The following is a 21,751-nucleotide window of genomic DNA, read 5'->3' as shown; positions in this document are numbered from 1 at the left end:
GTATTAACAACAAAAGAATCAGGCTTTATGGTGTGAAAGAAACAAAAATATTTTCTTTCATACTGTATCCTCGTGTGACAAAACTAAACACACACACATACATATACATATATATGTATATATATATAAAAAAACTTACTAAGTAAACTGGCTAACGTATCTACATCCAAATCTGTGGGTCTCTTTTGCTTCTGGGCTACTAACTGGCAAAAGTCCTGAGCAGCTCTTACAATATCTGCTTTTCCATCTTCCGGAGACAGCACCTTCACTGCCAAATGGCAATTTAAAACTGGAAGAAAAAACAAACAATGTATTTTAAAAACACTCTCTTCCAGGTATATTTCAAAAGCAGTTTTAAGAAATACAAGGTTAAACCAAAATAAACATACAGTTCTTACAGTAAACAAGAATTTTTTAAGCCCTTCAATTTCAATATCAAAACATACTTAGCTATTCTCCTCTGAAAGGATCCATATATCCCAAATCACATCCATGTATATATTTATACACTGCCTTCTTTTCAAAGTGTTCAGAATGACTATACATTGTGACTACATCCTCTAGAAAACAGAAACTTTATAGGCTAGCTAACAAATTTTCACGCATCTAAAATTTCCTGTATAATTGCGATATCGTTAGCAGTAACACAGAATAAAAGAAAAAATAAAGACTAAGAAAAAACTGTTAGAGTGGAATATGCATTGCCTATAGCATACATACCTTTATCAATTCTACTTTTATAGGAGCTATCTTACAATTGATGGGATTCTCAGATAACACTGCAAAATTCTTATCTATAGACATGCAAATTCTTTCTTGTCCAGCAAAGATTCAATTTCTTTCCTCACTCCATAGAACAACCAGTTGTACCTCTATTTATATATTCATTTCAATATCTCTACAAATGTGTCCATTCTATGGATTCTCTGTGGAACCAGTTAAAAAATTTGCCTGGTTAAATAAAATCCTTATCATGTGTTCACTTTTTACCAAGATTAAGACGAGAAAGTCTAAATCTGATGATTAAAGATGTTGACAATAAAGAGTAACAGAGCAACGTGAATGAATAAATGACAGAGTAACAGAAATTGCCATGAAACACAAAACACACATCTTCATATGTTACATGTTCAATTATACACTCATGCTTACCTTGATCATCTTTGTCATTACTATTTGCAAATTCTGGTGAGTATTTTGAACAATCTAGGCCCAGAAGTTCTTGCTGTTGTTTTAAAATTTCATCCATCAATCTGGAATTATTTCTTTTGAAAATACCTTTAAAAAAGAAAAAGGCAAGTAAAACACAACTAGGTTAATTTTTCCTCTTCAAGTGAATGCTTGCTATGAAAACAACACTAGATCCAGAACTAAACGAATGTCAAACAAAGCTGTAATGACTAGTCCTAAACTAGAATCTAAAAGGAAAACATGACAACAAAACTTTGTTAATACAAGAGTCTGGCTTCCAGCAAAAAAAAGAACAGAGGTAACTACTTAAGTAGTGGCATGTGAATATGACAGAAATTTAGACTTAGGAATTTTAAGAGATCACTTACTTAAAATCTTTATGGATTCAGAAACTGAGGCCTAAACTCTTTAAGGTTCTTCTCCAAGAAATTATAAACTGCAGCAGTGGTCTAGAGCCTGTTATGTTCCTCACTCACAGTCTAATGTACCTTTTCTGCAGATTTACTACTTGTATTAAATAATCTTGCCTCAATTTGATTAGTTTTTTAAATCATAAGAGGAAGTAATAAGGATTACGTAAAAAGAGAACAGAAAAACAATTTAGTAAATTTAAAACAAAGCACAGAAATAAAATACAAAGAACAATGTATGGTCCTCTATGCAGGGAAAAGTTAACACTGTTAACTACTGTCATGTTATTGAGAAAGATGAGAAAGACAAAGGAACTATGTGACATACATTTAATGTAAAACTAGTAAGAGCTCTGACTAAAAAAAAAGGAACAAGTCTTTGACAATTTGCAGAGGCAGCTTTCTAGTAGCCATTGCCTTTTTAATCTTTATCAAATGTTCCTACTCTGCACTCTCAGTCAGGCATGACTTTAAAGTAGTTTAACAAAATAACTGGGAGAGAGAACACAGGCTAATATATACACATATATATAATAAATATATACATATAAAGCTGCTTAAATCTTTTCCATCAAACCAGTTCTCTTTGTAGAATTTCCAACTTTCTTGTCCAGCAAAGATTCAATTTCTTTCCTCACCCCATAGAACAACCAGTTGTACCTCTATTTATATATTCATTTCAATATCCCTACAAATGTGTCCATTCTATGGATTCTCTGTGGAACTAGTTTAAAAATTTGCCTGGTTTAATAAAATCCTTACCATGTATTCACTTTTTACCAAGATTAAGATGGGAAAGTCTAAATCTGATGATTAAAGATGTTGACATTAAAGAGTAACAGAGCAACGTGATGAATAAATGACAGAGTAACAGAAATTGCCATGAAACACAAAACACACATCTTCATATGTTACATGTTCAATTATACACTCATGCTTACCTTGATCATCTTTGTCATTACTATTTGCAAATTCTGGTGAGTATTCTGAACAATCAATTAAAATTATATCAATCAATATATAATTAAATATATAAATCAATAAATATTAAATATATATAATATAAATATATTAAATCAATATATAATTAAACAATCAAAATTATATCACTTTTGAATATATATTTTGAACTATATATATATATATATATATATATATATCTATATCTATGGCACAGAACCTGCTGAATATACTGTATACAAATGCCAAGCCAGAAGTATATGTGTAACAGTAGTTACAAAAGTCTCCTTTGGTGAGGAAGGCTTTATAAAATAAGATTTGAGCTGAGATGAACTCTGAAGGTTAAACCAGAAAAAACTAGAGAAGATATCAGGTGGGAAAAAATGCTTAAGAAAAAGCATGAGTTCGGAATGTTAAAAAAACAGACCAATGCTGCTGATGCAAAGGATATGAAAAAATTGGTAAGAGGATAGTCCTAGTTTTTATCTCATTCTGCCTATCAAATGGATAAGCAACAATTTCTGAGCAATATGGAAATACATAAAAATGTGCATATTTAGAAGAATTAATCTGGCAACAGCATATAGAAGGGCAAGCAGCAGACTACTGTATTAGTCCATACATAATTTGTCGAGGCGATGAGGGGAAAAAGGATTTACCACAAAGGAAGAATTGAGAGAATATGGTACATGACTGACTTAGAAGTGAATGTAGAAAATTCCATGGCTTTTATCCTAGGTAGCAGAAAATGATAATCTTTTTTTTTTTTTTTTTTTTTTGAGACAGACTCTCACTCTGTCACTCAGACTGGAGTGCAGAGGCATGATCTCGGCTCACTGCAACCTCCGCCTCCTGGGTTCATGCGATTCTCCTGAGTAGCTGGGACTACAGGCATGCGCCACCATGCCCGGCTAATTTTTTGTATTTTTTTAGGAGAGATGGGGTTTCACCGTGTTAGCCAGGATGGTCTTGACCTCCGGACCTCGTGATCCGCCCACCTCGGCCTCCCAAAGTGCTGGGATTACAGGTGTGAGCCACCACACCCAGCCGATAACATTTTTAAAAGTTGAAAATTCCACAAAGAGAACTTGTTTGAAGGAAAGGATGAGTTCGGTTTTAGACAGCCGATGATAGAAAATTTAGGTGAGGATTACTATAGAAGTGATTAAGAGAGATGACACAGAAGGAGTTCAAAAGAGGTCATATAAGCACCAATGTGAGTAGGGATCTTATCTGTTTTGCTCACCAGGGCCAACCACAGTGCCTGGCACAGAGCAAACAATAAATAAATGTCTGCTGAAAGAATATGGGAGCTCAGAAACTGAGACATAGATATATATACACTTGGGAGTCAGCCTCCTTAACGTGGGACAGCCATATACACAAGAATAACGATTAGTAAGATTTCAAATATAATTAGGTATATATAGAGAAAAGTAGAAGGCTAAGATGGCACTACGTATGAATGCCCACAATAATTATGAAAGCCCACAATCATAAGACTCTAAGCGTGGAAATATAAAAGTGAACATTTTGAAACAGCCATATCTAGAACAAGATTAAGCAAAAAATATATCACTAAATATTAGCAAAATTTTTAAAGGAAGGTGATTAATATCAGGAGCTATTTGAATGGCAATCTTTAGAACAGTAATACCTGTGGAGTAATGCAGAAGTGTAGGATATAATCATTATATCCCCATATCAATCATAAAATTCACATGTATATAAAAAGCATATATTCCAAAACAGCATATAAAATATATGATGCCAGCTTATAAATTTTACAAGATTTCCAACTATCTATACAAGTTAGACCACACTTTGGTCTGTATTATATGTATAAATTGTGGAAGTCATATAAACTTCAAAAATTTCTTAATTTAACAATGGGCTGGGTGCCAGTGGCTCTCACCTGTAATCCCAGCACTTTGGGAGGCCAAGGCAGGAGGAACACTTGAGGCCAGGAACTAGAGGCTAGCCTGGGCAACATAGCAAGACCTTGTCTCTACAAAAAAAATGTTTTTTAATTAGCTGGACGTGGTGGCACACGCTCTTAGTCCCAGCTATTCAGGAGGCCGAGGTGGGAGGATCGCTTGAGTCCAGGAGTTCAAGGCTGCAGTGAGCTATGATCATGCCACTACACTCCACTTGAGCAACAGAGAAAGACTCTTTCTTTAAAACAGACAAAAAAAAACAAAAAACAAAACAAAAAAAAATGTAAAATCTCCATAACACTCCAGCCAGAACATACAAGTTTATTAAAAATCAAATGGTAAATGACTCCCTTTCCCATAAAAACTAAGATTTATTCATTTTAATAGTGTCGGGTAATACTAGGAAAGCCTGCTTTGTCTATTCACATCACACCAATCCCCTCCTTTGATACTCTTTTTAAAAACCTAGCCTTCAGTTCTCACCAGTTTGTTCATATTTACCTTAGCCTCCAGATTAAAATGGTAAATCTTTTCAGGAACTCTTGCCCTCTTCAAAGCAATGGATGACAACCTTATCACCAGAATATTCACTACCTCTCCTCAATCTTAATTCTTCCCTCCTCAGCTTCTCTGAAGCATTACCATTAATGACCACCATGCTTCCTTCTCAAAATTCTATCTTTATCCCAACTTGTCTCAATGTTCTCTTCCTGATTCAACACGTAACCTGGCTCCTTGAATGGCCCATTCTCACTTTCCACTGAATCCTCTTCTTCTTTTCACCCTAAATAAAGATTATTCCTCAGGGTTCCCGTCTCAGCCCTCTCTTTCTGTCCATGTGGTCCTTCTTTTCTGATTCTAGTCACTCACCAGTCTTGAAAACAAAGAAAGCCCAGACAAAAATAAGTGAGGTAAAATTTGGGGTGCAAAAATTTAAGGGGGTGCCAAAAAAACTCAGTAATTAAGATAATGAATAACAATGCAGTATCTTTAAAAATTAAAATGCCAAACTATCCATGATGAACAAAACATTAAAATTTTAAGTAGAAACAGGATCATTTGGTTCCTAACATTTCTAGTTCATTCAAACATCTAACTCTACCTTGAAGTTCTGTAGGCATCCGAGAGTGAACAAAGCCAAACCTTGGCGGCTTATCTAATAAAGCTAGCTCTCGGAACACTTATATGACATCAAGGGTAGAAAATAAATTAAAAGGAGCAGGACTTTAAGTGTATAACTTACTTGCACTTAAGAACAAGACTGGAAGAGGACAAGCAAAATGAGAACAGTAAATGTATAGGGGTAGTAGGACAGCAGGTGATTTAAAATTGTAATTGCTATAAAGTGGTTTATAATTTAAAAAAAAAAAAAGTCCTCCTTCTTGACGCTCTATTTCTAAAAAAGCCATCAGTATCTGCCCAGTCACCCAGGCATTCTCTCTACTCTCCCATTATCAACCCCCAAAGCCCTACTAATTATGCTAAGCCCATATACTCTTTTACAGCAATGTTTCCTATATCCATATTCCTTTCTGTCCATTGCCCACACTGCTCCAAGCCATTGTGCTGTTCTTTATTATATATACACACACATATTTTTAAGAAACAGGGTCTCACCCTGTCATCCAGGCTGAGTGCAGTGGGGCTATCATAGCTGACTGCAGCCTCCAGCCTCTAGGCTTGTGATTCCCCTGCCTCAGCCTCCTGAGTAGCTGGGACTACAGGTGCATATCACTGTGCCCAGCTAATTTTTTTATTTTTTATTTTTGTAGAGACAGGGTTTTGCTTTGTTGACCAGGCTGGTCTCTAACTCCTGGCCCTCAAGTGATCCTTCCTCCTCGGGCCTCAAAAAGTATTGGGATTACAGGCATGAGCAACCGGCCCAGCCTACTTCCTTATAATATTATAAGCAACTTCTGTGGGTGTTCCTGCCCCCTTCTATTAAGTACTGCTAGCTTCACCACCAGCTTATTCAATCCTGGCACATTCCAACTTCAGTATCTTAAATGTTTCCTAAAATGCCTAGTGTATTAAGAACGAACTGCTCAGCCCAACATTAACATTCCAGCCTATGCTTCCATGCTTGTTGAACAGAAATCAAATGAAGTTTTCCATTTCCCAGTAATACTTTATCCCCACAAATTAGAATTGCCTATGTTCCTCAAAAACACATGGAGTGACTCCAACCTCCATCCTTTATGCCACTTCCCCAAGCCCATGCCTGTTAAATTCTCCTAATTCTTCACAGGCCAGCTGAAATGTCATTTACCTTCAAGAGGCCTTTCCCAATTCCCCAGCCAGATGTGCCCCATTCCTCCTCTGACTTACCCTCACTCTCAACCCCTCCACATACACTCATTTAAACTTGTTAATAAACGAATATTCTACTTTTTATTATAGCTTAAATCTCTCCACCCTCCCCTCAACTGTAGTCTTATTTGTGAATGTGTCTTACTCATCTCTTTTCCCATATTTTCCATATAGCAGTTCAATGTTTATTTAATCAACTGAATTACCAATGTACAAAGTGCTGCTTAACAATAATGAAACATAAAGGAACATGTCACTGAATGGAATTTTTCTTAAGTTTCCAGGAACATCCCACAATAAAAGCAGACACTTCCTTATTGCACACAGGCAGAAGTTCCACTAAAAGGAAAGAATATTACAGAGAGACACAGTTACAAAATGTCTCTTATAAAGACTTTCATACAGTTATTGGAACAGAATCTTTCTTGGCTGATTTGGATGCAGAAGTAAAATTTAAAGGTATGGTTTCTGAGAATTGCTAAGAGTGTAGATAAGACACTATGGGCAAGATGATTCCTAATAACTCATAACTTGACCCCCACCCAGAAATCTGATCATACTTATTCACAAGCAATATTATCAGCTTACAGTTTTCTTCAGGATTCAATGTCTACACACACACACACACACACACACACACACACACACACACACACACATACACACTTCACATGATACACAAGAAATACAAGACATAAGGTTGGCTTTGACTAAAACAGGCAATTCCTCTAGTAATATCATAGTATATGTACAGATTCTTTTTCTCATATTATAATTCATCCTGTTTCCCTTCTAGGATCCAAACTAAAGCCAAAATGATAAAGAAACTATTACAAAAGTTATTTTATGTAAAAGGAAGCTAAGGCCATATTCATTCAGAAATAACTGATTAAGGGAAAACACTTGAAAATACTCAAATTTTTAAGAAAACAGTATTTTACAGAATTATATAGTATTGCACCTCAAGAATCACTTTATTCCAACCTTTTACAGGTGAGGAAAAAGATCCATAAAGGTCAAGCAATTGTCTTTGGCCAAGCATCTAAGAATTTGGCCTGAAATCCAGGTATCCCTCAAATTATTCAGTTCAGTTACTATTTCTAACTCTGATAAAGGAACAATACTAAACTCCACTATACAACTAAATTTTGAATTCCTCCAAAAAAGTTGAATTTTATAAAATAAATACAACCTATCTTTTAATAAATGAGTAGTATTTTTCGAAAAAACTAGGACTAGAGCTTTTTTTTTTTAGACGGAATCTTGCTCTGTTGCCCAGGCTGGAGTGCAGTGGCGCGATCTCGGCTCACTGCAAGCTCTTCTCCTGGGTTCACGCCATTCTCCTGCCTCAGCCTCTCGAGTAGCTGGGACTATAGGCGCCCACCACCACGCCCGGCTAATTTTTTGTATTTTTAGTAGAGACGGGGTTTCACCGTGTTAGCCAGGATGGTCTCGATCTCCTGATCTCATGATCCGCCCGCCTCAGCCTCCCAAAGTGCTGGGATTACAGGCGTGAGCCACGGCGCCCAGCCCTTTTTTTTTTTTTTAATGAGACGGAGTATCACTCTCTCACCCAGGCTGGAGTGCAATGGCGCGATCTCGGCTCACTGCAACCTCCACCTCCTGGGTTCAAGTGATTCTCCTGACTCCAGAGCTCTTTTTAAAAAGGCTTTTAAGGAGGTTTCACAGGGCAAACAGATATTTGAATTCTTTAGGAGTGACTTGGGAATCTAAAATAAGTTTTTGCAATAATGACTTAAAGATTTTTACTTTATGTTTTGTTGCTTTAAAATTATATTTCACGTACTCTCAATTTCCCAAATGTAAACTATATGAAATATAAAGAAAAAAGTTAAATGGGCTGGGCATGGTGGCTCATGCCTATAATCCCAAACACTTTGGGAGGCTGAGATGGGAGGATCACTTGAGGTCAGGAATTTGACACCAGCCTGAGCAATGTAGCAAGACCCTGTCTTTATAAAAGAATTAGCCAGGCATGGTGGCTTGTGCCTGTAGTACAACCTACTCAGGAGGCTGCCCAGGAGTTCAAGGCTGCAGTTAACTATGATCGCACCACTGCACTCCAGCCTGGGCAACAAAGTAAGACCCTGTCTCTAAAAAAAAAAAGAAAGAAAGAAAAGATATATCAAATAGCCATTATGACAAAACACACACGAGAAAATCTTCAATTTCCAAAGTAAGGAAACTGCACACATATCCTTTGAATCTACAATAAAAGTTGAAAAAAATAAAAGTAAAACCACAAAATCTTCAACTTCCGTGAAAGAAGAATATTATTCTAGCAAAGTTATACCTCAGAAAGACTACCATGCTTTTGTTATTTCTTAATAAACAGCAGGTATGCATTTTGGGGGCCAAATGAAGACTTCATTTTAGATTCTAAGAAACATTTGTTTTAAATTCTAGTCTTAAAAAATAAGATGTTCAATGTTTAGATAATAAGGGAATGTTCCCTAACCTTCCCCATAACTACTGGAATGTCCCTAACCTTACCATTGTAACACAACTATTTCGACTTCTCAATATTTTCTAGTCTTTGTCCACATGCATATGTAATCCTAGTGTATATGATTATGCAATTTGTATCCTGCTTTTTTTACTTGTGTAATATGTATCCTTCCTTGGTGCTAGTCTCATGATTATTTTAACAACTGTATTAAACAAAAAGTTTTTTGCTGTTTTTTTCAGTTCTTAAAATATAAAAATCAATACTTCCCCAGGTGATTGCTATTATAGGAATCACTCTATTGCATATTCTCTCAGCAGTCAGGTTTCTCATCACATTCGAGGAAAGTAGAGTATCATATGGACACCAGAAATGTCAGCAGTGGCCGTAACATGAAGGGGCCTGTGGGCCTTGGTAATGAATTTCGAAAGCATTCCAACTACAACGAGAAGCTGTTGGAGGGTTTTATTCAGTCCAAATGATGCCATCAAAAAAAGATCACCTCGCTGGTAGGTGAAGAATGGATTATACAGGGACCAGGATAGAAAAATGGAGATCAATTAGGAGGCTACTACAGTAATCCAGGTGAAAGAACAATGGTAATTTAAACTTGGATGGCTGCAATGGAGACTAAAACAAGGATTAGGTCTCAAAAAGTACTGTTTTAGACATACAAGGCATAGGATTGACCTAATAAATTATTTTAGACAAGGAGTTAGATATAGAAGTCTGGAATTATGGGAGATATCAGGACTGTATTTCCAGCCCAAACCTGTGTGTCAGCACACACGTGACATTTAAATCCATGGGATTGGGGAGATTATCTGCAGGACAGGGGTCAGCAAACTACTGCTATGGAAAACAGCCACATTTGCTTATGGCCATTTTTGACTACACTAGCAGAGTTGAGTAGTTGCAACAAAGTGAGTAACAGAAAGACAAAGGCATACATACAGCTCCAAACTCTAGGACACCACAACATTTGGAAGTACAACAGAGGAGAAGCCACACATATGGATTAGAAGAAAACAGAGTAGAGTAGAAGTTAATTTGCCTAATCTACCTACTAGGTTACATACTGTATTCAGTCTTACACATTAACTGAATAATAAAGTCATGACATGCATACTTTTTTTAAATTAAGGGAACCAAGTCACAAGGAGTTTAATTAGACAAGTATTCCATCAGCAAATCTTATCTGCATTCCTCAAATACTGATTATTTTAAAAGGTATGTGAAATGTATAATCAAGTCTATAAAATGAGACTTTTAAAATACATTTACTATCTCTTTTAAATCTGAAACTGGAATTTTTACTGTGATTATTTATTCCCTTCTACAGAAACAGACTTTTTAAGAAATAATAGCAAGTACTTACAAGAACAAACAAGAGAAAAAAATGAGATAAGCATTGAAACAATCTCTCCTCATTATTAAGCACTTCACTGGTTATGGAATTAAAGTAATCTCTATTTATAAATAAATGCCTGTTCTAAAAATTGGCCTACCTCTTTTTCTTTTTAAACTAGTCACCTAAGTTACCTCTAACAACTCAATTATAAAACGACTAGAGAGCAATCTTCAGAGAAGAAAACATATATTTATGGAGCAATTATTTAAAATGAAAAAAATCTACCATTAAAATTTTACATGACTGAAGTAGTCATAAGAAAATAAATCATAACAAAATACATAGGCCATTAAGCTATTTTATTTCAGGAGAGAGCCCTTCAGGACACCTCACAGAACAACAATTATACTGTAGAAAATTATACTGCAGTGCTGTAGTAAGAGAACAGGTATGTGTAATGGTGACAAAGTATATAACAAAATGAGGGCTAGATTTAAGTCCTAGCTTGTCAGCACAAGAGATATGTAAAATGAACAATCCATGTGGGTTTTTTCGGCATCTTGTTGGACATTTTTAAAATGAGAATATATTTACAGAATCTGCTCACCTGACAAACTAACAGCTCAACACAAAGCTGGAGCACCATAACATTAAATTTTTAGCTGGTTTTTTAAAAAATGTGTCCTATAACTCAAAGGATGAACATGTACACTAGTGGGATGAAGAAATCTCTATTAGTCTTTAAATATCTTTTACAAATAATTTCTATAACCTGTAGATAAGTGCCTGTTTACCAAAGCTTGAAGATGACCCAAAAGAATCAGAAACAGTACTAAAAGTGACTACTGTCGTCACATTCTTTTACCAGTGGAAATCAAAATAATGTAACGGTTAAGCACAAAAGCTCTAGAATAAAAATCTGGTTCAAATTCTAGATCTGCTCCTTACTAGATTTGGAACCTGGCTTTTTAAATCTCAGTTTATCTGTAAAACTGCTAATGACTTAAGGCACTTTTCTATAGTATCCAGTACAGACTAAAAGTTCAACAAAGGATAATTATTACGCTTAAGATACAGGTTTGATTTATTGATTGATTGATTGAGGCAGGGTCTCACCCCGGCTAGAGTACAGTGGTGCAACCATGGTTCACTGTAGCCCCAACCTCCAGGACTCAAGTAATCCTCCCACCTCAGCCTCCTGAGTAGTTGGGACTACAGGCACACACCATGTCTAGCTCATTTTCTATTTTTATTTTTCAGAGATGCGGGTCTCACTATATTCCCCAGGCTGGTCTTAAACTCCTGGGCTCAAGCAATCCTCCCATGTCAGCCTCCTAAACTGCTGGGATTACAGGCATGAGCCACCACACTCAGCAAAGGTTTACTTTAATACACAGATCCAGTACTATAGTTAAACAAAAGGGTACATAGAGAATAAAGTCATTTAAAAAGTTAACAAAAGCAGGATAGAATTTTTCAAAGACAGAGTAAGACTGGGGATGGAACAGTCGAGAGAGGCTACTTCAGAGATGATAGTTAGGATGAACTTACAAGAATCAACAAGCTGGGCACGGTGGCTCACACCTGTAATCCCAGCACTTTGGGAGGCTGAGGCAGGTGGATCTTGAGGCCAGGAGTTCAAGACCAGCCTGGCCAACATGGTGAAACCCCATCTCTACTAAAAATACAAAAAATTAGGTGGGCATGGTGGCATATGCCTGTAATCCCAGTTACTCAGGAGGCTGAGGCAGGAGAATAGCTTGAACCCCGGAGGCAGAGGTCGCAGTGAGCCGAGATCGCACCACTGCACTCCAGCCTGGGCGACAGAGCCAGACTCCATGTCAAAAAAGAAAAGAATCAACAGTCTTTTGACAGGTAGCTAGCCCTTTGCCAGAAAAAGGTGAAGAGGACATTTCAGGATGTTAAGATAAATGTGAAACTGTACAAAAAGTCAACTACACAAAGGTAGAGATTAAGAATAGAATGCTCCCTTACATGAGTTTCCACATGAGGGAAGATAAACACTAGGTTGTACTATTCAGTATGTCAAATGTAATCACATTTATATTTAGACTTTCAACATTTCCGGCACCTCTGTATTTCAACATAAGGAGAATAAACTTAAGAAAATCATACTTCTCAATAGCATCTGTGTCACTGTGCCAACTAAGTAAACTAGGGTAAACTATGTTCATTTTCCTCCATTACTTTAAGGCTTCTGGGTATTGTGTTGGGAAGCAGAGAGTGCAACTCAGTTCATTATTCTTATCTACAGGAAATGCGGCCCTTCTTTGAATTCAAGGAACACATATTAACTATTCATTACATGCATAACACCAAGATACACTCTGTAAGAAAAGCAAAAATGAGAAGGATGGATAGCATCTGTGGAGCTTATAATCTAGTAAGAAAGTTTATGCACATATACATACAAATATGACTACACAAAGCAGAGAACAGAAGTACCTTTAGAGATGTTTGAAGTTCTGAGGAGATTCAGAGATATAGTAAGATAGGGAACGGAGTGAATAGTCAAGAAAGGCAAAAATATACAAGGTGATATTTAGGATTGACTCGGAAAAGATGAACAATAGCCTCTTGGTAGGCATACAGCCATTTGCCAGAAAAAGGAGAAGAGGGAGTTCCAGGAAACTGGAACATTAAATACCTAAATACAGACATAGCAAAAGGTATGCAAAGCATTGAGAAACAGGTTGAAAAGATAGGATACACTGGGCAGACTTTTAAAATGTTACTGTGAGAAACCTGTACCCAAAAACCATTTCAAAAGCAACCTAGCTTCGATTTAAATAAACTAAGGAAATAGCACTAGAAAGAGCAGCACACAAAAAAAATTTGTTGTCTTACTGTTGAATTCTCACACAGAAGGCAATGCCTTATTCTGGATCATTCCAATTTACAGCAAATAATCCTAAGGCTTACCCCAAATTATCCTCAATCATGAAAAGGAACATGAAATATAAATAATCTAATGTAAGGCAAGTAGCAGAGTATCCTTTGATCTGTGTTAGGGTTAAACTTCAGTGTGCAGAAGTATCATACAGGTAGCTTGATAAAAACAGAGACGCCCAGGTCCCAGTTCCCTCATTAAGTTTGATTACTAAGTGTGTTGAATCTGCATTTTTTATAAGCATCCCCAATGACTAATTCACAGATGGTCCACAGACAGGTTTTGAAAAATACCAATCAACAGCAAGGTTCCCAGCAAGGCACAATAAAGCCAGGAAATAAGAACAAGTTCCATCACTTAAGATAACAATACATATCCAGATAACTTGGAGCCAAGTGTACCTGCATGTGAGACACAGGCAAACAACACTGCTAAGGCTAGAACAATAAAATCCATTTACCCCAACCCCTGGTTCTTGTACCATCCCAGTTATGGTCATTTCTTAAATTATAATCATATAGACAGAACAGCCAAATCTCGCTAGAATTCTGAACTCAAAAAATTCCTGATCACTGTCCTGAGAGAACAACCTGAATTTTTGAAAGATGAAAGAATTACTTGCAGACTCTATTATAATCAAGAAATATTGCAGGTAGTGAAAAACAAAAAGATCAGTTTGCTGGCAGTCAAATTAAGGTCAATATAATAGATCTTTTAGTCTAAGGATTAAATGTTGTTATCTAGATCCAACCATAATTAGAACGAATTTAAGTACAAATTTGAGAGCAAAGGGGTGTAGGACAGAATAAAATGTAAGGTGGTAAGCTTGTCTTCAAAGTGGCTGCCCGTCCATCTCCCTTCAAATCCTCACCCAACCTTTCTACACAAGCCATTTTCTCATTGAGAGGTGAAGTCCATTTCTCCACTTTCTTGATGCAGAACAGATGTGAGACTTCTCTGACCAAGAGAACATAGCAAAAATAACACTGCATGATTTCCTAGGTTAGGTCCTAAGACATCTTTCAGCTTCAGCCTTTGGCCAAGTCTCTGGAAACATTTGTTCTGGGGGAAGTTAGTTAACTGGTTACCCTGAAGTCAACCTCCAGACCATGTGAAGCCAGATGACCAACCTGCCCCATCTATTTCAGCCATCAAAAACCAGGCACCAGACATAAGGAGAAACCTTTGGGTCCCAGACTCTATCTGAATGAAAGCTATGAGTGACCCAAAGGAAAAACTGCCCAACTGAACTAAGTCAATATATAAATTGTTGTTTTAAAACACTATGCTTTGGGTAGATTTCTACAAAGCAGTAGGTAACCAGAATAGCTGTCCAAGCCTTCATCCTACCTCATTTCCCAACTGTTCATTACATAAATTCACTGCTCCCAACACTCTACTCAATGCTATTACTGAACCTAGTCTAATGAGAATGCTGCCATTAGGGAAATCCCCATTCACACACACAGAGAACACTGTTCACGCCAATCCCAATTCTATCTTTTTGACTAGGTCCAGCTCAGGTGTTGCTCCCTTCCTTACCAGACAAATATGGAGGTAACCCGGGAAATTTTCCATTTTTCGCTCCTTAAAGTATCTGCCATTCACTTAGCATTTCTATATTAGCTTGTGTTAATTTTTAATGGACATCCTTACTTGAGTGGAAACTCTTTAAGAGACACCATTTCTTGTACTTCTTGTATCCCAGTGGCATTTACGAGTATGTCAATAGGATTTTTCATAGTTAAATATCTATCTAGAAATAAGCTTAAATAGACATTTATTTAGAAACACTGAATATGGCCGGGCGCAGTGGCTCACACCTGTAATCCCAGCACTTTGGGAGGCTGAGGCAGGCAGATCACCTGAGGTCAGGAGTTTGAGACCAGCCTGGCCAATATGGCAAAACCCTGTCTCTACTGAAAATACAAAAATTAGCAGGGCGGGGTGGCGCGCATCACCTGTAGTCCCAGCTACTTGGGGAGGCTGAGACAGGAGAACTTGAATCTGGGAGACGGAGGTTGCAGTGAGCCTAGATTACACCACTGCACTCCAGCCTGGGTGACAGAGCGAGACTCCGTCTCAAAAAAAAAAAAAAAAAAAAACCACTGAAAAAGAAACACTAAATAAAGCTTACATGTCTATACTCCCTCTGAGTGATTCTTACATATCCACATGGCCTATATTTTCAAGTCTATATTCAAAGAGCCTCTCCTTGGCCTCCCTATTTAAAACTGTACCCCTTCCTACACCACTGACTTTCAACATTCCTATCTTCCCTTCTCTGCTTTACTTTTCCTCATTGCACTTACATTACCACATATTTACCCACGTATATTATTTGTCAGACTCCCACTGAAATCTAAGTTCCATGAGTACACTGCTGCATTCCCATGTCTGGAAGAGTATCTGGTACTTAACAGACCCCAACTGTCACCTGTAAATGAATGTATGAACGAATCAAAACCAAGAATGGACTAATTGAAGGTCTCTTATTTCAGGAATATTTCTTATTCTTTTAAAAAAAACAAACAAAAAAACTGATTTTACAGTTAAGATACAAAATCCTGTAAGCCCTTTCACTGAAAATGCTCCTTAAGGTGCCTTTCAGTTCTCAGCCAAAACTTGGCTTAGCTTACTTCTTCCTTTTAATTACTAATCATTTTTCTTTTAGCAACTATGACACAGGATACTTCTGAATCACATCAGCAATTTAAACACAGGACTTGCAGAAACAAGGAAATGTGGCAACATTATAGTCTGTACTAGTAGGCACGGTCATCAAGTCAAACAATTTAGCTATACATTTTCCTTCCCTACTGGAAGATAAAGATACTTGCTTTAAAAGAATCACCTGGCTGTACATCAATCCACCACGTTGCTTAATGCCTTTATGTCCACTTTTGCTTCACCTATTTTTTTCCCCAAGCAAAACTGGTTGCATTGGTTTAGGCATGGATTGTGTCATCTCCTAACAGTCTCATGATTTCTATTGGTCTGCTGAGTTCTTTAGCAAGTTCCATAAATGTCAGTCTCTGAATATATCAAACTTTACCCTATAGGGCAAATCATCATTTGGTGATGACAGGCTACTGCGTCATCATGTTCCTTGCGGGCTGCAGGAAAGATGATAGGGCAATCAGAGATCAGCCTGTAAGCGTTACTGTCTGGCCTATGCCTTCCCTTTCTGACAAAACCCTGCACTTAAATTTACCAATCTGACAAAGATGTATGCCTCTCTAGAGCACACAGGTAATTTATTGAACAGAGAATAAAACTTTTGTTTTCTTCCCTTCATACCAATACTCTTAAATCATTCTTCTCACATCTTTAAAGAAATTCCAATGCTTTCAAGATCTGATTGAAAATCAAACCTGACATCCCAAACCTGAGTATTCCTCAACTTATCTCCTACCTATTCTTCAAGGTCCTGCTTAAATCCCACCTCCACTGCATGAACTTCTCAAGTTCCTTCATTCACAATTTCTCTCCTCTCTTCTCACAATAGTAATTTTACTCTCAACACTTCTTGTTATTAACCATGTCAAATATGTGAGTGTGTGCCTACCTCCTAACAAGCCTGAGAGTCCATGGAATTAAATGCAAGATTCCAAGGAATATGCCTAGCACAGTGCTTTAGGTTTGTAGCTACCCAATAAGTACTGAATTTTTGTACTTACAAAAACTCCCTATGGTGAAATTCATTCCCTCAATCAAAACATATGAGAGGACAATTCTATCAAGTACTGTGTTGGGCACTGATGATGAAGGATCACAAACCATCCCAGCCTTCCAAGACAGAAAGGGACCATTTTCTTTTCTGCCTATCCAATCTCTCACATATTTTTCATAAACCCAGTTCAAATACCACCTGACCCCCACCGCTCCCATTTGCAGTACCTATCACACAGCCCATGCCTAAGTCCTCTATAGCCTCACTGCGACTTAAGAACAGCGCCTGGAAGCTCTCTTAAAGAAACAGTGTGGTGTAACCAAAGGCAAAGATTGTGAAAAAGCACAGAATGGCTAAAATTCCAATATCCTCATTCCGATCTTTGTGGCCCCATTACGATCTTGTGGCCTTGGGCAAATCAGTTAATGTTTTTAAACCTTGGCAAGGGTATACAAATACCATCTACATTACTGCAGTATTATAACGAATAAGAGATTTTTTATTTATTTTTATTTATTTATTTACTTATTTGAGACAGAGTTTCGCTCTTGTTGCCCAGGCTGGAGTGCAGTGGCGCGATCTCGGCTCACCACAACCTCCGCCTCCCGGGTTCCAGCGATTCTCCTGCCTCAGCCTCCCTAGTAGCTGGGATTACAGGCATATGCCACCACGCCCGACTAAACTTGTATTTTTAGTAGAAACGGGGTTTCTCCATGTTAGTCAGGCTGGTCTCGAACTCCCGACCTCAGGTGATCCGTCCGCCTCGGCCTCCCAAAGTGCTGGGATTACAGGCATGAGCCACCGCGCCCGGCCAAGGGATATTTTTAAAATGTTAAAAAGCTACTGAGTCAAATCCAGAGAATTAGTAGGTGTTCAATAAAGCTGATCTCCCTTCCTCGAAAGCGCTAGCGCTGTGATTTGCAGAGAGGCCGCGGCAACTCGTGCCATGGGCACCACCCGCCAGACCAGCGGTCTAGCGGTCCAAGACGCCTCGGCCACCCCCCACCACCGCACCGGGCCTCACCTTGGTGGTCGTAGACGCTAATGTAGGAGATGCCCACGGCCATACACCACACCACGAGGCTCGCGATGTCCGAGAAGCTGGGTTCCTGCTCCACCTCGGTGATCACCAGGCCCATATGCACAGGCAGCTTCTCCAAGGAACGACCGTCCGCGCGCCAGCGCATCCGGTGGTGTGCGGCTGCCAGGCACGACCCCCCGCGCGGGTGCCGGTGGTGACGGCGGTTCCTGCCGACTGCCGGGGGCTTGCGGAGCGTGAAGCCGAGCGGCGCTAGGACCGCGGCAGAGGCGGCGCGGCAGCAGCGCCGCCAGATCCAGTTCCAGGTGCCGAACCGAACGCGGAGCCAGGAGGTGAGCGTGCGGTGCAGACAGAGCAGCGCGTGCAGCACCCGCCACACCAGCTCGTACAGCCCCGTCATACTCTTGTGGCCCTCAGACACCCCCTCTCCCTCCCGCCCACTCCCGCAGCGCGACGGCTTTTTATCCGCCCCTGCGGCCGGCGCGGGCCATCGCTCCGCGTCCCCCCGCCCCCCGAGCCCGAACCCCTTTCCACTGCCAACACCTCACCTCGCCCCCGCCGCCATCTTCCTCCTCCCTTGGCAGCCCCGCCCCCAGTAGTACATGGACAGTTCCGATTGGCCAGCGTGGAATTCTGACGCGGCTTCTGGGTCCGAGAACGTGGCCCGTTCCGGCGCAGTGAGGGAAGGCGCACGCCTGCGAACTAGCCGGGCCGATACCGCGGGCGCCCCCTGGTCGCGTGGAGGGCGATGAGCGAACGACCCGGGACTTGTCTGAATGGGACCCCAGCAAGGCACACGTGGTCTTCAATGCGATGGGCGCTTCCAGGGGACCCGGCGTCCCTTGGGTCCAGGAAGTCTTATACTGTCTCCTCTCACGGCCCCGACAGAAACGGTTTCTGAGGAGTAGAAGTGTCCTAAGTGGATTGGAAATTACAAATGCCGGAAAGAACCTAGGGATGGAAAGCAGCCCTCAGTAAGTGTTGATGCTGGGAATCCACCAGGGTTTCCAAAAGTGTCCTCAAAGGCTGGAGTGATCCTGCTACTGTCCTTTATTCAGCCTCCCGGCTGAGGCTGGGAGCGAGGCTCTTTAGCCATGTTCCTGAAACACCCCTCTACCCATGTCATTCTCATCTAAGGTATCCTTTCCTGGCTGTACATTGCTTAATAGAGGCTCTACAGCTTGGCAGTCCAGTCACTTAATTCTTTTTTTTTTTTTTTTTTTTTATTCGGCAAGACTTTGACCAACCGCCGTGGGTTAGGTTTACAGTGGGGAAAAAAAATAGAAATTGTGCCTGACTTCAATGACCGCCACTATTTGAAGCAAACTGCCCATCCAAGCCTTATCATCCCCTTTAACACCCTAATGTTTCTGTCCATGTGGACTTCGACGTGGTCCTCTAGAATGGTTTTGTACTTCCCCGCGGTAAGTCTGTACTGTCTTTGCCCTTTTTGTTCAAGCTCTTCTCCTGAATTCCTGATTCCCGACTTGGTATTGCCGACATTCCAACCCATTTCTCAAGGTTTATCCTACATGCTACATCCTCTATCATCATATATATGTGTGTGTGCAACAATAATATTTATATTATTTGCATTTATATTTATATAAGTATATATATAAAGATTAGGGAGGTATTACAAAAATGCAACTGTACACATACACACGTATACACACATATTTACACACGTGTGTGTGTGTAAACAGTTGCGTTTTTGTAATACCTACCTATTCTTTGTTCGCTAAAGCCTCTTTTTCCCCCTGGGAAACATCTGTTCACGTCTTGGCTATGTGACTTAATTTTTCTAACATTGTCACTTTTTCAACTAGTCTCATTTTGGTTTCTAAGACTCATTTAACTTTACTTTAAAAGTTGAATCTCATGTCCATCTCCCTTTCGCAGTGCAATTTTCCTCCCTTTGGCAGTGCAGCCTGAAGAACTGAGGGCTGGGCACCAGGCACACCCTTCACACACTTCTTTCTCTCCAGGTCTCCTCTGCGGTAGCTCCTCTGATGATGGACAAAGAAGGAGAGGCGAAAGGCCATGATCAGGGAAGCCTACAGTCTTCTTCCTCACTGCCCATTGCTGTAGTTTATGCAGCTACATGATGCTTGTTAAGGAAGCTCCCTAGACACCAGTGTCCCATTGAGATTTGGCCACGTATTCTGCAGACCCCACCCCACCCCCCATGCCGACTATGTTGCCACATTTCTCTACCGTACTCATTTCTTTGCCCCAATGTCTATCCGTTCTGACAAGATTAAAGACATCAATCTCATGTTCCCGTGGCCTGCTCTCAGGTGTGCAGGCACAAACAGGCTCTATCTTCTGTATTTCTTTTTTCCTTTTTTTTTGAAACGGAGTCTCGCTCAGTCGCCCAGGCTGGAGGGCAGTGGTGCGATCTCAGCTCACTGCAGGCTCCGCCTCCCGGGTTCACGCCGTTCTCCTGCCTCAGCCTCCCGAATAGCTGGGACTACAGGTGCCCGCCACTACGCCCGGCTAATTTTTTGTGTGTTTTTAGTAGAGGCGGGGTTTCACCATGTTGGTCTTGAACTCCTGACCTCAGGTGATCCGCCCGCCTTGGCCTCCCAAAGTGCTGGGATTACAGGCGTGAGCCACTGCGTCCGGCCCCTGTATTTCTTTGAATTGCAAACTTAAGCAAAAGGATTCTAGCCACATGTCCATCTGACACACTCACATGCAGATCCTGGCGTCTCTCCCCAGACATTTGCTTGCTTTCCTCCTAGAGTTTCCTCCTAGTAGCAGGTCCCCTAGCTCCCAGGATGTTCAGCCTCCTAAAGAGTGGTGGGGCGGCGGTACCCACTTTTCTTCTCTGTCAGCTGTCAGTAGGCTAGGGATGGAGGGTCTCATACAGAACAGTTCTCTGGGGGCCTTGAACCAACACAGTTCTTCCCCTTTTCTCACTTGTAGTTCTCGAGAATAACTGTAGAATGTGTTGGAATGCAATATACTATAGACAAGGAGGAACTGACCAGAACAGCCCAGGCTCTGTTCCAGTCTCTTCTAGAAATAGGATGTCCTTCAACTAGTACTAGCCCAGCACATCCCATTGCCCTGTAGTAAAAACTGAGAGCAGACTGCTTTCTGGGGTCCCTTAGTTGCGGTGCAAGCAGTGCACGAGCAGATGAGACGCCATCCTCCCTAAGAAGTTTTCCTCGGCCTTGGGAGATATGGTCATTATGACATGCTTCTGTTGTCCCTTGCTGCCTGTCTGTAAGTAATAAACCCACTTCGTGTAACTTGTGTGTGAGTGTTCTGCGTCACTGGACACTGGATATAGGAAAAGTGCAGTCCAAAATGCAGTGGGCTGAACCGGTAACCAGTGCACAGTGAACCTGCTTTGCATCTGGTGGTTGCTGTCAACTTCAGGCTGCTTCACTGTTCTTAGAAGGAGGTGGACTCAGTGCCTTTTGTTCTCAGCCACAATTCTGGAATAACAGGAAAGCCACACTGGATGTCTTGCTCTGGACATACTTGGAAT

The 21,751-nt window shown here is 40.0% G+C and overlaps 1 protein-coding gene and 1 long non-coding RNA gene across 2 annotated transcripts in view, besides 1 other annotated feature; one reads left to right on the top strand and one right to left on the bottom strand.

Annotated features, from left to right (window-relative positions):
• Positions 1 to 18,851, bottom strand: part of NUS1 (NUS1 dehydrodolichyl diphosphate synthase subunit) — a 35,259-nt gene extending 16,408 nt beyond the window's left edge. The window contains exons 1-3 of the mRNA NM_138459.5: positions 18,235 to 18,851; positions 1,153 to 1,278; positions 140 to 289 (exon numbers count right to left, since the gene is read on the bottom strand). Of these exons, the coding sequence (NP_612468.1) occupies positions 140 to 289; positions 1,153 to 1,278; positions 18,235 to 18,649 (691 nt within the window). The 5' untranslated portion in view covers positions 18,650 to 18,851. The remainder of the gene's footprint in view (positions 1 to 139; positions 290 to 1,152; positions 1,279 to 18,234) is intronic.
• Positions 7,127 to 7,327: a silencer, noted in NCBI's record as "peak6055 fragment used in MPRA reporter construct". NCBI's record gives its function as "represses an SCP1 promoter by STARR-seq MPRAs in K562 erythroleukemia cells {active_cell/tissue: K562}" and the evidence as "EXISTENCE:reporter gene assay evidence [ECO:0000049][PMID:32103011]".
• LOC101927919 (uncharacterized) lies at positions 19,036 to 21,507 on the top strand. The gene is made up of 3 exons (NR_110854.1): positions 19,036 to 19,223; positions 19,485 to 19,673; positions 20,238 to 21,507. It is a non-coding gene; the product is annotated as an uncharacterized LOC101927919 (long non-coding RNA).

This window comes from Homo sapiens, chromosome 6, assembly GCF_000001405.40.
Source record: "Homo sapiens chromosome 6, GRCh38.p14 Primary Assembly".
Classification (NCBI taxonomy): Eukaryota; Metazoa; Chordata; class Mammalia; order Primates; family Hominidae; genus Homo; species Homo sapiens.
The sequence above is the reverse complement of the archived record's forward strand: the minus strand, read 5'-3'. Positions and strand labels throughout refer to the sequence as shown.